This window comes from Homo sapiens, chromosome X (genome assembly GCF_000001405.40).
Source record: "Homo sapiens chromosome X, GRCh38.p14 Primary Assembly".
NCBI classification, from domain to species: domain Eukaryota; kingdom Metazoa; phylum Chordata; class Mammalia; order Primates; family Hominidae; genus Homo; species Homo sapiens.
In genome coordinates this window covers 155,645,429-155,662,090 of record NC_000023.11, presented here as the reverse complement: position 1 = coordinate 155,662,090, position 16,662 = coordinate 155,645,429, and the positions used below count along the sequence as shown (strand labels likewise).

The window sequence follows — 16,662 nt, the reverse complement described above, 5'->3', positions numbered from 1 at the left end:
AGAATCACACTAGCTCTCTAGCAATGGATTCTAGTCAAAATGAAAATTCTGCAATGGCAAATAAAGAATTAAAAGTATGAATTTTAAGGAAACCCAGTGGAAATCAAGAGAAAGTTGAAAAGAACAGAAAGAAATCAGAAAAATAATTCAGGATATAAATAGAAATTTACTAAAGAGACAGAAAATTTTTTTAAAAACCCATACAGAACTACTGGAAATGAAAAATTCATTGGAGAAGTTCCAAAATATAGTTGAAAGCTTTAACAATAGACTAAACAAAGCAGATGAAAGAATTTCAGAGCTTGAAGACAGGTCTTTTGAATTAACCTACTTAGACAGAAATAAAGAAAAAAGTTTTAAAAAAATGAAGAAAGCCTTTGAAATATATGGCATTATGTAAAGTGACCAACCATACAAGGTCATAGATATTCCTGATGGAGAAGAAGAAAAAGTAAAAAGTTTGGAAAACCTATTGAGGAAATAATTCAGAAAAAAAAATGCCTGGTCTTGTTAGAGATTTATACATCCAGATACGATAATCTTAAAGAATTCCTGGAAGACAGACTACAGGATGACCTTCACCAAGCCATATAGTCTTCAGACTAGCCAAAGTCAAAGTGAAAGAAAAAATACTAAAAGCAGCAAGGGAGAAGCATCTAATCACCTATGAAGGAAATCCCATCAGACTAACACCAGACTTCTCAGCAGAACCCTTATAAGCCATAAGAGAATGGGGTCCTATTTTCAGTCTTCTTAAAGAGAAAACTGCCAGTCAAGAATTTTGTGTCCCACTAAACTAAGCTTCATAAATGAAGAAGAAATAAAGTATTTCCCAGACAAGTAAAGGCTAAAGAAATTTGTCACCGCTAGACCAGTCCTACAAGAAATGCTGAAAGGAATTTTCAACAAGGAAACAAAAGAATGATATCCACCATCATAAGAACACACAAAAAGTATAAAACACATAGTTCTTATAAAGCAATTACACAATCGAGACTAAAAAACACCTATATAACAATTAAAATTATTACAGAAACAAAACCTCATATATCAATATTAATCTTGAAAGCAAATGGAATAAATGCTCCACTTAAAAGATATTGACTAGTGGAATGGATTTAAAGAAACAAGATCCAAAAATATGCTGCTTACAAAAGAATCCACCTAACTGGTAAGATATTTACAGACTTGAAGTAAAGAAGTGGAAAAAGATACTCCATGCAAACAGGACCAAAAGCGAGCAGGAGCACCTCTACTTATGTCAGATAAAACAGACTTTTAACTAGCAACAGTAAAAAAAAAAAAGACAAAGAAGGTCAGTATATATATGATAAAGGAATCAAATCAACAAGAAGATATGACAATCCTAGATAGATATGCACACAACACTGGAACACTCAGATTTATAAAAATGAATACTACTAGACCTAAGAAAAGAGATAGACAGCAATGCAATAGACAGCAATTCAACACCTCATTGAAAGCACTAGACAGATCACCGAGGCAGAAAATCAACAAAGAAACTCTGGAATTAAATTGGACTCAAGATAAAATAGACCCAACAGACATTTATAGAACATTCCACCTAACAACAGCAGTATATACATTCTTCTCATCTACATCTAGAACTTTCTCCCAAATAGACCATATGCTAGGCCACAAAGCCAGTCTCAATAAATTTGAAAAATCAAAATCCTGTTAAATATCTTCTCAGACCGCAATGGAATATAACTAGAAATCAACACCAAGAGGAAGTCTCAAAACTATTCAAGTAAATGAAAATTAAACAATCTGCTCCTGAATAATCTGTGGGTAGATGATGATATTATGGTGGAAATTTGAAAATTTTGAAACAAATGAAAATACAGACACAATGAACCAAAGATCCTGGGATACAGCAAAAACACCGCTAAGGGGGAGTTTATAGTATTAAATGCCTACATTCAAAAGATAGAAAGGCCTCTAATTAACAACCTAATGTCACACCTCAAGAAACTAGAAAAACAACAAACCAAATCCAAAGCTAGCAGAAGAAAAGAAATAACAGAGATCATAGCAGAACTAAATGAAATTGAAACCAAAAAATTATACAAAGAATCTATAAAATTAAAAGTTGGTTCTTTAACAAAATAAGCAAAATTGATGGACTGCTAGCTAGATTATCCAGGAAAAAAAGAGAGAAGATACAAATAAGGACAATCAGAAATGATAAAAGTGACATTACAATTGATATCACTTAAATACAAAAGATCATCAGAGACTACTATAAACATCTCTATGCATACAAACTAGAAAACCTAGAGGAAATGGATATATTTCCAGAAACATGCAACCTCCAAAGATTGAACTACAAGGTAGAAAATGTGAACAGACCAACAACCAGTAGTGAAGATGAATCAGTCATAAAAATCTTTCCCTCAAAAAAGGCTGGATTCACAGCTAATTTCTACCAGATGCACAAAGAAGGAATGGCACCAATCTTACTGAAATAGTTTCCAAAAATCAAAGAGGAAGGAATCCTTCCTAATTCATTCTATAAAGCCATCATCACCCTGACACCAAAGCAGAGTAAGGACACAATGAAAAGGGAAAACTACAAGCCAATATCCCTGATGAACATAGGTGCAAAAATCCTCAAAAAATAAAGGCTGGGTGTGGTGGCGCACGTCTGTAATCCCAGCACTTTAGGAGGCCAAGGCGGGCGGATCACGAGGTCATGAGATCGAGACCATCCTGGCTAACATGGTGAAACCCCGTCTCTACTAAAAAATACAAAAAATTAGCCAGGCGTGGTGGCAGACACCTGTAGTCCCAGCTACTTGGGAGGCTGAGGCAGTAGAATGGTGTGAACCCAGGAGGCGGAGCTTGCAGTGAGCCAAGATTGTGCCACTGCACTTCAGCCTGGGCGACAGAGCGAGACTCTGTCTCAAAAAAAGAAAGAAAGAAAGAAAGAAAGAAAGAAAGAAAGAAAGAAAGAAAGAAAGAAGAAAGAAAAAAAGAACCCTAGCAAAAGGAATCCAACAACACTTCAAAAAGATAATACATCACAATCAAGTGCTCCTTATTCCAGGGATACAAGGGTGGTTCAACACATGCAAATTAATAAATGTGATTCACCACATATATAGAATTAAAAACAATAACCATATGATCATCTAGATAGATGCAAAAAAGCATTTGATAAAATTTAGTACCCTTTCATGATAAAACCCTCAACAAGCTAGGCATCAAAGGAACACACCTCAAAATAATTAAAGCCATATATAATAAACCCATAGCCAACATCATACCGAATGGGTAAAAGTTGAAAGTATTCCCCCTAAGAACAGGAAGAAGTCAAGGATGCCCATTTTTACCACTCCCTATTGAGCATACTACTGGAAGTCTTAGCTAGAGCAAAAAGGCAAGAGAAATGAATAAAAGTCATCCAAATTGGAAGAGAGGAAGTCAAATTATCTCTGTTTACTGATCATATGATCTCATACCTAGAAAACACTAAAGACTCTTTCAAGAGACTCCTAGATTTAAAGATGACTTCAGTAAAGTTTAAGGCTACAAAATCAATGTACAAAAATCAGTAGCATTTCTATACACCAAACAGTATCAAGCAGAGCGCTAAATCAAGAACTCAATGTCATTTGCAATAGCTACAAACATTAAAATACCTAGGAATGTATTTAATCAAGGAGGTAAAACATCCTTACAAAGCGAACTACAAAACACTGATGAAAGAAATCATAGATGACACAATTAAATGGAAGATAACTCATGTGCATGAATTGAAAGAATCAATATTGTTAAAATGACTATACTGCCCAATCTACAGAATCAATGTAATTCCTATCAAGTTACCAACGTCATTTTCCACAGAATTAGAAAAAAAAATTATAAAGTACATATGGAACCAAAAAAGAGCCCAAATAGCCAAAGCAATCCTAAGCAAAAAGAACCAAGCTGAAAGTATCACATTACCCAAGTGAAAATTATGCTACAAGGCTATAGCAACCAAAACGGCACAGTAGATTCTGCTGGCAAGAAGGCCAAATAGGAACAGCTCCAGTCTGCAGCTCCCAGTGAGACCAATGCAGAAGGCAGGTGATTTCTGCATTTCCAACTGAGGTACATTATTCATCTCATTGGAACTGGTTAGGCAGCGGGTGCAGCCCACGGAGGGTGAGCAGAACCAGGGTGGGGCATGACCTCACCCAGAAAGTGCAAGGGGTTGGGGAACTCCCTCCCCTAGCCAAGGGAAGCCATGAGGGACTGTGATATCCAGCCCAGATACTATGCTTTTCCCACGGTTTTTGCAATCTGCAGACCAGGCGATTCCCTCATGTGCCTACACCACCAGGGCTCTGGGTTTCAAGCACAAAACTGGGCGGCTGTTCGGGCAGACACTGAGCTAGCTGCAGGAGTTTCCCATCCTCCTCCCCTGCCCAGTGGCGCCTGGAACCCCAGGGAGACAGAACCATTCACTCCCCTGGAAAGGGGGCTGAAGCCAGGGAGCCAAGTGGTCTCACTCAGCGGGTCCCACTTCCGTGGAGCCCAGCAAGCTAAGAACTAATGGCTTGAAATTCTTGCTGCTAGCACAGCAGTCTGAGGTTGACCTGGAAAGATTGAGCTTGGTAGCGGGGGGCATCTGCCATTACTGAGGTTTGAGTAGGCAGTTTTCCCCTGACCACACTAAAAAGGCCTAGAAATTCAGACTAGGCAGAACTCAACACAGCATGGCAAAGCGGCTGTGGCCAGACTGCCTCTCTAGATTCCTCTTCACTAGGCAGGGCATCTCTGAAAGAAAGGTAGCAGCTCCAGTGAGGGGCTTATAGATAAAACTCCCATCTCCCTGAGACAGAGCACCTGGGGGAAGGGGTGGCAGTGGGTGTAGCTTCAGCAGACTTAAACATTCCCGCCTGCCAGCTCTGAAGAGAGCAGCAGATCCTGACAAGGAGGGTTCCCCCAGCACAGTGCTCGAGCTCTGCTAAGGGACAGACTGCCTCCTCATGTGGGTCCCTGACCCACGTGCCTCCTGACTGGGAGAGACCTTCCAAGAGGGGTTGACAGATACCTCATACAGGAGAGCTCTGGCTGGCATCAGGTCGGTGACCCTCTGGGACAAAGCTTCCAGAGGAAGGAACAGGCAGCAATCTTTGCTGTTCTGCAGCCTCCACTGGTGATATCCATGAAAATAGGGTATGGAGTGGACCTCCAGGAAACTGCAGCAGACCTGCAGAAGAGGGGCCTGACTGTTAGAAGAAAAACTAACAAACAGAAAGCAATAACATCAACATCAACAAAAAGAATGCCCACACAGAAACTCCATCCAAAGGTCATCAATCTCAAAGATCAAAGGTAGATAAATCCATGAGGATGAGAAAAAAACCAGCGTAAAAAGGCTGAAAATTCCAAAAACCAGAATGCTTCTTCTCCTCCAAATGACTGCAATTCCTCTCCAGCAAGGGCACAAAACTGGACAGAGAATGAGTTTGACGAATTGACAGAAGTAGGCTTCAGAAGGTCAGTAATAACAAACTCCTCTGAGCTAAAGGAGCATGTTCAAACCCAATGCAAGGAAGCTAAGAACGTTGACAAAAGGTTACAGGAACTGCTAACTAGAATAACCAGTTTAAAGAATATAAATGACCTGATGGAGCTGAAAAACACAGCACAAGAACTTTTGAAGCATACATAAGTATCAACAGCTGAATCAATCAAGCGGAAGAAAGAATATCAGAGATTGAAGATCAACTTACTAAATGAGGCATGAAGACAAGATTAGAGAAAAAAAGATTAAAAAGGAGCAAACAAAGCCTCCAAGAAATATGGGACTATGTGAAAAGACTAAACCTCTGATTGATTGGGGTCCCTGAAAGTGATGGGAAGAATGGAACCAAGTTGGAAAACACCCTTCAGTATATTATCCAGGAGAACTTCCCCAACCTAGCAAGATAGGCCAACATTCAAATTCAGGAAATACAGAGAACACCACTAAGATATTCCTCAAGAAGAGCAACCCCAAGACACATAATTGTCAGATTCCCCAAGGTTGAAACCCAGGAAAAAATGTTAAGGGCAGCCAGAGAGAAAGGTCAGGTTACCTACATAGGGAAGCCCATCAGTGAATGTCTCTGGAGAAATGCAACAAGCCAGAAGAGAGTGGGGGCCAATATTCAACATTCTTAAAGAAAATAATTTTCAACCCAGAATTTCATATCCAGCCAAACTAAGTTTCATAAGTGAAGCAGAAATAAAATCCTTTACAGACAAGGAAATGCTGAGGGATTCTGTCACCACCAGGCCTGCCTTACAAGAGCTCTGGAAGGAAGCACTAAATATGGAAAGGAAAAACCGGTACCAGTCACTGCAAAAACAGCACGGTAGTGGTATAAAAATGGACACATAGGTCAATGGAAGAGAATTGAGAATCCAGAAATAAAGCCACGTATCCACAACCAACAAAAATACACACTGGGGAAAGGTCAGTCTATTCAATATATGGTGCTGGGACTATTTAATCATCATACGCAGAAGAATGAACCTGGACCCATATCTCTCACCATATACAAAAATTAACTCAAAACGGAGTAAATACTTAAATTTAAGACCTTAAACTATAAAAAATCCTAGAAGAACACCTATGAAAACTCTTTAGACTTTGGCATAGACAAAGAATTTATGACTAAGTCCCCAAAATCAAATGAAACAAAACAAAAAATAGACAAATGGGAATGAAACTAAAAAGCTTCTGCACAGCAAAAGAATCAGCAGAGTAAACAGAAAACCTATAGAATGGAAGAAAATATTTTCAAACTATGCATCTAACAAAAGGCTAATATCCAGAATCTACAAGAAACTCAAACAACTCAACAAGAAAAAAATCCCAAATAACCCCATTAAAAATGGCCAAAGGACACAACAGACATTTTTCAAAAGAAGACGTACAGCCAACAAATATATGAAATCATGCTCAACATCACTAATCATCAGAGAAATGCAAATTAAAACCCCAATGAGATATCATTGTATACCAGTCAGAATGGCTATTACTAAAAAGTCAAAAAAACAACAGATGTTGGCAAGGATTTAGAGGAAAGGGTATGCTTATACATTGTTGATGGAAATGTAAATTAATACAACCTCTACAGAAAACAGTGTGGGGATTCTCAAAGAACGAAAAATAGAACTACCATTCAATCTAGCAATCTCACTATTGAGTATCTACCCAATGGAAAAGAAATCATTAATTAAAAGGATACTTGCACTTATATGTTTATTGCAGCACTATTCACAATAGCAAAGTCATGGAATCAACCTAAGTGTGCATAAACAGATGATTAGATAAAGAAGATTTTATATTATACACACACACACACACACACACACACACACACACACACACACACACACCATGGAATACTATGCAGCCATAAGAAAGAATGAAATCATGTCTTTTGCAGTTGCATGGATGGAACTGGAGGTCATTATCCTAAGTGAAGTAGCTCAGAAACAGAAAGTTGAAAACTGCATGTTCTCACTTGTAAGTGGGAAGTAAAAATGAGTACACATGGACATACAGAGTGAAATAGTAGACACTGGAGATTCTAAAAGGTGGGATAGTAGGAGGGGGTGAGGGTTGAAAAATTACCTAAGGATATAAGAGCCACTATTCAGGTGATGAGTAAACCAAAAATCCAGACTTTATCATTATGTAATATATCCACATAACAAAAATATGGCACTTCTATCTCCTAAATCTATAAAAATTTTAAAAATGTAAAAAGCAACAGAAAATAGTTACCAAATATGGTAGATATACATTTTAAAAATCAATAACCACTTTAAATATAAATGATCTAAATGCACCAATTCAAAAAAAGATTGCCAATGTAGGTTTTTAATAAAATCCAACTACATGTTGTCTACAACAAACCCACTTTAAATATATAGACTCAGTTTTATGAGCCATATTAGCAAATTAATCTAAACTGAGGGAAAGGTCAAAGGAATCCTGATTTATAGCTAGTTGTCAGAAGTATAGGTGACAAGCTACTACTTATAACTGGCATCTGAATATACACAGTATTGCAGGGTTGAGCCCTTAACCTGTGGGATCTGACATTGTTTCCAGGCAGATGGTGTCATAATTTAATTTAATTATAGGACACCAAGTGGGTGTCCACAGGAGAATAGATTGTTGGTGTGGAGAAATCCCCATATGTAATTTGGTGACCAGAAGTGGTCTGTGCTAAGCATGAGAGTAGGAAAAACAGTTGGTTTTCCTATTATATGTAAAGTCCCAATAACCTTTTCTATAGATATGGAAATGACAATACTAAAATTCATATGGAATTGCAATGAGTCCAAGTAGCCAAATCAATTTAGAAAACAAAATAAAAAGTTGGAAGACTCACACTTTCCAATTTCAAAACTTATTATAACACTACAGTAATCCAAACAATGTGGCACTAGCATAAGGATAGACAATGGCATCTATAAATCACTGAAATGGAATTGAGAATCCAGAAATAAACCCAAACATCTATGTATAATTGATTTTCAACCAGGATGCCAAGACCATACAATGGGGAAAGAACAGTCTCTTCAACAAATGGTTCTGGGAAAACTGGATATCCACATGCAAAAGAATGAAGTTGGACCTTTACCTAACATTATGTATAAAAATTAACTCAAAATAGTTCAAAGACCTAAATATAAGAGCTAAAACTGTACCAATATTAGAAGAAAACTTGGGAATAAATCATGATGTTGAATCAGGCAATGGTTTCTTAGATATGGCACCAAAAGCACAAGTAACAAAATTTTAAAAACCATAAAATGGACTTCATCAAAATTCAAAACCTTAGTGCATCAAAAGACATTATTAAGAGGTGAAAAGACAGAATGAGAGAACATATTTGCAAATCATATATCTGATAACTAGATAAGGGTCCATATATCTGATAACTAGATAAGGATCTAGTGTTCAGAATATATGAGTAACTCCTACAACTCAATAATAATGAGAAAAGCAACCCAATTTAAAAATGAGCAAATGACTTGAATAGACATTTCTCTAAAGGAGATATGCAAATGGCCAGTAAGCACATGAAAAGAGGCTCAATATTAATCACTGGGGAAATGCAAATCAAAACAACAATTAGATATCACTTCACACCCATTAGGATGCTAATAATAACAATAATGGCAGAAAATAACAAATGTTGGTGAGAATGTAGATAAACTGAACCATCAACGAGAATTTAAAATTGTGCAATCATGGCAAAAAACATTCTGGAAGTTACTCAAAAGCTTACACATAAAGTTACTATATCATCCAGCAATTCCACTCCAAGATATTTACTCAAGAGACTCAAAAACAAATATCCAACCAAAAATATGCTCACAAATGTTCATAGAAACACTATTCACAGTAGCCCAACAGTGGTAACAACCCGAGTGTCCCTTAATAGATAAATGTATAAATGAAATGTGGTATATATACACACAATGGAATACTATTCAGCCATAAAAAGAAATAAAACAGGTCCTGTCATTTGCAACATGAAATAAGGCAGGCAAGAAAGACAAAACATTGTGTGTTCTTACTTATTTGTGGGATCTAAAAGTCAAAACGACTGAATTCATGGAGATAGAGAGTAGAAGGATGGCTACCAGAGACTGGGAAAGGTTGTAATGGGCTGGGGTGAAGGAAGGTGGGGATAGTTAATGGATAAAAAAAAAATAGTTAGAAAGAATGAATCAGACCTAGTATTTGATAGCACAACAGTGTGACTATAGTCAATAATAATTTAATTGTACATTTTAAAATAACTAAAAGAGTGTAATTGGATTGTTTATAACACTGATATGGTTTGGATTTGTGTCCCCGCCCAAATCTAATGTCAAATTGTAATCCCCAATGTTGGAGGAGGGGCCTAGTGGGAGATTATTGGATCATGGGGGCAGATTTCCTCCTCGCTGTTCTCCTGATGGTGAGTTCTCATGAGATCTCGTTGTTTAAAAGTGTGTAGCACCTCTACCTCCCTGTTTGCTCTCTTCCTTCTGCTCCAGCCATGTAGGACGTTCCTGCTTCCCCTCTGCCTTCTGCCATGATTGTAAGTTTCCTGAGGCTTCCCCAGCCATGCTTCCTGTACAGCCTGTGGAAATGTGAGCCAATTTTAAACCTCTTTTCTTTATAAGTTACCCAGTCTCAGGTAGTTCTTTATAACAATGCGAGAATGGACTAATATGAACACAAAGGATAAATGCTTGAGGGAATGGATACCCCATTTTACATGATATGATTATTATGCATTGCATGCCTATATTGAAACATCTCATGTACCCCATAAATATATACATATACTATGTACCCATAAAATTAAAATAAAAAATGTTAAAAGCATGATACATAAAATGAAAATTGGTAAGTTAGACCTCATCAGAATTTTAAAGCCTTTTGCTCTGCAAAAACTCTAAGGATAAAATGACAAGCAACAGACTGGGATATTTGTAAATCTAGGACTAGTATCTAGAACATATTTTTAAAATTCAAAATTCAATAATTAGGAAATGGACAAAAGATATAGACATTTCATTGAAAGGAGTATGCAAATTGCAAATAAGGCCATGAAAAGAGAAAATACATCATTAGCCACCAGGGGGAACTGCAAATTAAAAGCACAATGAGATACCCCTATAAACCTACCAGAATGTCTAAACTTAAAAATACCTGGGCTGGGTGAGCTGGCTCATGCCTGTAATCCCAGCACTTTGGGAGGCTGAGGTGGGCAGATCACTCGAGACCAAGAGTTTAAGACCAGCCTGGTGAAACCCCGTCTCTACTAAAAATACAAAAATTAGCCGGGTGTGGTAGTGTATGCCTGTAATCCCAGGAGGCTGAGGCATGAGGATCTCTTGAACCCAGGAGGTGGAGGCTGCCGTGAGCCAAGATTGCACCACTGCACTCCAGTCTGGAAAACAGAGTAAGACTCTGTTTCAAAAAAAAAAAAAAAGTGATAACATCAATGGTGGTTAGGATGCAGAGAAACTGGATCACTGATACATTGTTGGTGGGAATATAAAATAGTACATTCTCTATGGAAAACAGCTTTGTGTTTTCTTAGAAAAATAAAAATGTAATTACCACATGCCCCTGAAACTGTGCTCTTGAGAATTTATCTCAGAGAAATGAAAAATGATGCTATTGAAGAATTCTGTACTTAAGTGACTGTAGAAGAATGCTGCATTGGGTAGAAATAGCCAAGGTCTAGTATCTTCATAGTGCTCAGTTTTTGTCTGGGAACTTTCCAGCAAGAATTTGGCACTCCATCAAACCGCATGTCAGATCCCCAAACTGCTGCAGCTGAAGGCTTTCAGCTAAATGCACCTACTGTGGAGGTACTTTCCTGAAGGGAGAGCAAGGTGGTACACCACACGGCTGCTGCACAAATGTACAAAAAATTCAATATGTAGAGGACTTGAAAAACCCAATTAATAAACTTGATCTAATTGACATATATAGAACGCTGCATCCAATTACTGCAGAACACGTATAGCTTTCAGATACATATAAAACATCTATAAAAGTTGAGCATATGCTGGGTCATAAATCAATTTATAATTCTATTGAGCTCAAAATTAAAAATCGCTAAAAATCTACATTTGAAATTTAAGCAAGAAGCTTCCAAAGTAATTAAAAAATTAAAGAAGAAATAACCATGAGTACTTAACAACACACTGAACTAAAGGACTATAACAATATATCATAGTTTTGTTTGCTTAGGATTGTCTTGGCTATACGGGCTCTATTTTGATTCCATATGAAATTTAAAATAATTTTTTCTAATTCTGTGAGGAAAGTCAATGGTAGCTTAATGAGGATAGCATTGAATCTATAAATTACTATGAGCAGTATGGCCATTTTCACGATATTGATTCTTCCTATCCATGAGCATGGAATGTTTTTCCATTTGATTGTGTCCTCTCTTATTTCCTCGAGCAGTGATTTGTAGTTCTCCTTGAAGAGGTCCTTCACATCCCCTGTAAGTTGTATTCCTAGGTATTTTATTCTCTTTTTAGCAATTGTGAATGGGAGTTCACTCATGATTTGGCTCTCTATTATTGGTATATAGGAATGCTTGTGATTTTTGCACATTGATTTTGTATCCTGAGCCTGCTGAAGTTGCTTATCAGCTTAAGGAGTTTTTGGGCTGAGACGATGGGGTTTTCTAAATATAAAGTCATGTCATGTGCAAACAGAGATAATTTGACTTCCTCCCTTCCTATTTGAATACCCTTTATTTCCTTCTCTTGTGTGATTACCCTGGCCGGACTTCCAATACTATGTTGAATAGGAGTGGTGAGAGAGGGCATCCTTGTCTTGTGCCGATTTTCAAAGGGAATGCTTCCAGCTCTTGCCCATTTAGTATGATATTGGCTGTGGGTTTGCCATAAATAGGTCTTATTATTTTGAGATATGTTCCATCAATATCTAGTTTATTGAGGGTTTTTAGCATGAAGGGGTGTTGAATTTTATTGAAGGCTTTTTCTGCATCTATTGAGATAATCATGTGGTTTTTGTAATTGGTTCTGTTTATGTGATGGATTACATTTATTGATTTGCGTATGTTGAACTAGTCTTGCATCCCAGGGATGAAGCCTACTTGATTGTGGTGGATAAGCTTTTTGACATGCTGCTGGATTTGGTTTGCCAGTATTTTATTGAGGATTTTTACATTGATGTTCATCAAAGATACTGGCCTGAAATTTTCTTTTTTTGTTGTGTCTCTGCCAAGTTTTGGTATCAGGATGATGCTGGCATCATAAAATGAGTTAGGGAAGAGTCCCTCTTTTTCTATTGTTTGGAATAGTTTCAAAAGGAATGGTACCAGTTCCTCTTTGTACCTCTGGTAGAATTCGGCTGTGAATCTGTCTGGTCCTGGGCTTTTTTTGGTTGGTAGGCTATTTAATTATGCCTCAACTTCAGAACTTGTTATTGGTCTATTCAGTGATTCGACTTCTTCCTGGTTTAGTCTTGGGAAGGTGTATGTGTTCAGGAATGTATCCATTTCTTCTAGATTTTCTAGTTTATTTGCATAGAGGTGTTTATAGTATTCTCTGATGGTAGTTTGTATTTCTGTTGGATCAGTGGTGATCTCCCCTTTATCATTTTTCATTTTGTCTATTTGATTCTTCTCTCTTTTCTTCTTTATTAGTCTGGCTAGTGGTCTATTTTGTTAATCTTTTCAAAAAACCAGCGCCTGGATTCACTGATTTTTTTGAAGGCTTTTTCATGTCTCTATTTCCTTCAGTTCTACTCTGATCTTAGTTACTTCTTATCTTCTAAAGCTGGAGGCATCATGCTATCTGACTTCAAACTATACTAGAAGGCTACAGTAACCAAAATAGCATGGTACTGGTACCAAAACAGATATATAGACCAATGGAGCAGAACAGAGGCCTCAGAAATAACACCACACATCTACAACCATCTGATCTTTGACAAACCTGACAAAAACAAGCAATGGGGAAAGGATTCCCTATTTAATAAATGGTGTTGGGAAAACTGGCTAGCCATATGCAGAAAACTGAAACTGGACCCCTTCCTTACACATTATACAAAAATTAACTCAAGAGGGATTAAAGACTTAAATGTAAGACTAAAACCATAAAAACTCTAGAAGAAAACCTAGGCAATACCATTCAGGACATAGGCATGGGCCAAGACTTCATGACTAAAACACCAAAAGCAACGGTAACAAAAGCCAACATTGACAAATGGGATCTAATTAAACTAAAGAGCTTCTGCATAGCGAAAGAAACTATCATCAGAGTGAACCAGCAACCTACAGAATGAGAGAAAATGTTTGCAATCTATCCATCTGACAAAGGGCTAAAATCCAGAATCTACAAGGAACTTAAACAAATTTGCAAGAAAAAAACAACCCTATCGAAATTGGGCAAAGGATATGAACAGACACTTTTCAAAAGAAGACATTTATGAGGCTAACAAACATATAAAAAAAGCTCATCATCACTACTCATTAGAGAAATACAAATCAAAACCACAATGAGATACCATCTCATGCCAGTTAGAATGGCGATCATTAAAAAGTCAGGAAACAACAGATGCTGGAGAGGATGTGGAGAAATAGGAACACTTTTACACTGTTGGTGGGAGGGTAATTAGTTCGACCATTGTGGAAGACAGTGTGGCAATTTCTCAATGATCTAGAACCAGAAACACCATTTGAACCAGCCATCCTATTACTGGGTATATACCAAAAAATTATAAATCATTCTACTATAAAGACACATGCACACATATGTTTAATGCAGCGCTATTCACAATAGCAAAGACTTGGAACCAACCCAAATACCCATCAATGATAGACTGGATTAAGAAAATGTGGCACACATACACCATGGAATAGTATGCAGCCATAAAAAAGAATGAGTTCATGTCCTTTGCAGGGACATGGATGAAGCTGGAAGCCATCATTCTCAGCAAACTAACACAGGAACAGAAAACCAAACACTGCATGTTCTCACTCATAAGTGGGAGTTGAGCAATGAGACCATATGGGCACAGGGTGGGGAACATCACACACTGGGGCCTGTCAGGGGGTGGGGGCAAGGGGAGGGATAGCATTTGGAGAAATACCTAATGTAGATGACATGTTGATTGGTACAGCAAACCACCATGGCACATGTATACCTATGTAACAAACCTGCACATTCTGCACATGTATACCAGAACTTAAAGTATAATAATAACAAAAAACAAAATACAATGTAAAAAAAAAAGAAAGAAGAAGAAGATATAACAATTGTAAACATATATGCACTCCAAATTGGAGCAACTAAATATACAAACCAGATATTAACAGAACTGAAGGGAGAAATAGAGACAATACAATAAAAGTAGGAGACTTCAATTCCCATATTCAGCAATGGATAAACATCCAGATAGAAAATCAAAAGGGAAACATTGGACTTGAACAAAACTATGTGGACAGCATGAAGGATTAAAAAAATATACGATCATCTCAACAGAGGCAGAAAAAGCACTTGACAAAATTCCACACTCCTTCATGATAACAATGCTCAACACACTAGGTGGAGAAAAAAATGTACCTTCACATAATAAAGGCTATATATGACAAGCTCACAGATGGTATCATACTTAATAGTGAAAGACTGACTTTTTTTCCTCTATGATCAGAAACAAGACAAGGATAATCACTCCCACCACTTGTATCCAAAATAGTGGTGGAAATCTTACCCAGAGCAATTAAGCAAGAAAAAGAATTAAAGGAAATAAAAAGAAGCTGAGTAGGAAAGGAAGAAAAACTATTCCTGTTAGCAGATTACATAGTTCTACATGTAGAAAACCCTGAAGGCATCACAAAAAACTGTTAGAACTAAGAAATTAAGTAAAGTTGCAGGATACAAAATCAATAAACAAAAAAGTTACATTTCTACACACTAAGAACAAACCATCCAAAAAAGGAAACTAAGAAAATAATCCCATTACAATTATGATGGTATTAAAAAGAAAAAAAAGTACTTAGGGATAAATGTAATTAAGGAGGCAAAAGTCTTGTACACTGAAAACTAGAAAACATTGTTGAAAGAAATAAAAGAAGACACAAATAAATGTAAAGACACTTCATGGATTGGAAATTTTAATATTGTTAAAATATCTATACCATGCAAAGCTATCTACAGATTCAATGCTATCCCCATAAAAATCACAATAACATTTTTTACAGAAATAGAACAAACAATCCTAAAGTTTAGATGAGAACACAAAACTATCTGGAATAGCCCAAGAAATCTTCAGAAAGAACAAATCTAGAGGCATCAAACTTTCTGATTTCGAGACATGTTACAAAGCTACAGTAACTAGAGAGTACTGGCATAGGAACAGACATATAGCCCAATGCAACAGGATAAGAAGCCCAGAAATAAACACATGCACATACAGTCGATTAACTGATGTTTGAAAAGTGTGCCAAAATTACCTAATAAGGGAAGAATAGTTTTTTCAACAAATGGTAGTGGGAAAGCTGGATATCCACATACAGAAAAAATAAAATTGGACCCTTATCTTACATGAAACACAAAGGTCAATTAAAAATGGATTGAAAACTTAAACAGAAGAGTGAATCTGGAGAGGGGAGGGACAAGATGGCTAAACAGAAGGCCCCACTAATCATCCCCTCCACAAGGACACCAATTTAACAATTACCTGCACACAAAGAAGCACCTTCATAAGAACCAAAAATCAGGTGAGCACTCAGAGTACTTGCCTTTAACTTCAAATCACTGAAAGAGGCACTAAAGAGAATAGGAAAGACAGTCTTGAGTCACTGATACCACCCTTCCCCCAACCCTCTGGCAGTGGCCATGTGGTGCAGAGAGAGAATCTGTGCATTTGGGAGAAGAAAAGTGCAACAACTGTGAGACATTGCATTGAACTCAGTGCTGCCCTGTCACAGCAGAAAGCAAAACTAGGTTGAATTCAGCTGATGCTCGCCCATGGAGAGAGTAGAGTACTTAAACCAGGCCTAGCTAGAAAGGAATCACCCATCCCAGTAGTCAGAACTTGAGTACTGGAAAGCCTCACCAGCATGGGCTGAAGTGCTCTGGGGAACATAA

The 16,662-nt window shown here is 37.3% G+C and overlaps 1 protein-coding gene across 4 annotated transcripts in view; it reads right to left on the bottom strand.

Moving 5' to 3' along the window:
- SPRY3 (sprouty RTK signaling antagonist 3) overlaps positions 1–16,662 on the bottom strand; it is a 169,874-nt gene that overhangs the window by 120,369 nt on the left and 32,843 nt on the right. Inside the window, exon 2 of one of the 4 annotated variants that reach the window (NM_001394353.1) lies at positions 5,066–5,224. The exons of the other annotated variants lie outside the window; for them this stretch is intronic. The gene's annotated coding sequence lies outside the window, so the exon portion shown is untranslated. The remainder of the gene's footprint in view (positions 1–5,065; positions 5,225–16,662) is intronic. 4 annotated transcript variants of the gene reach the window in all.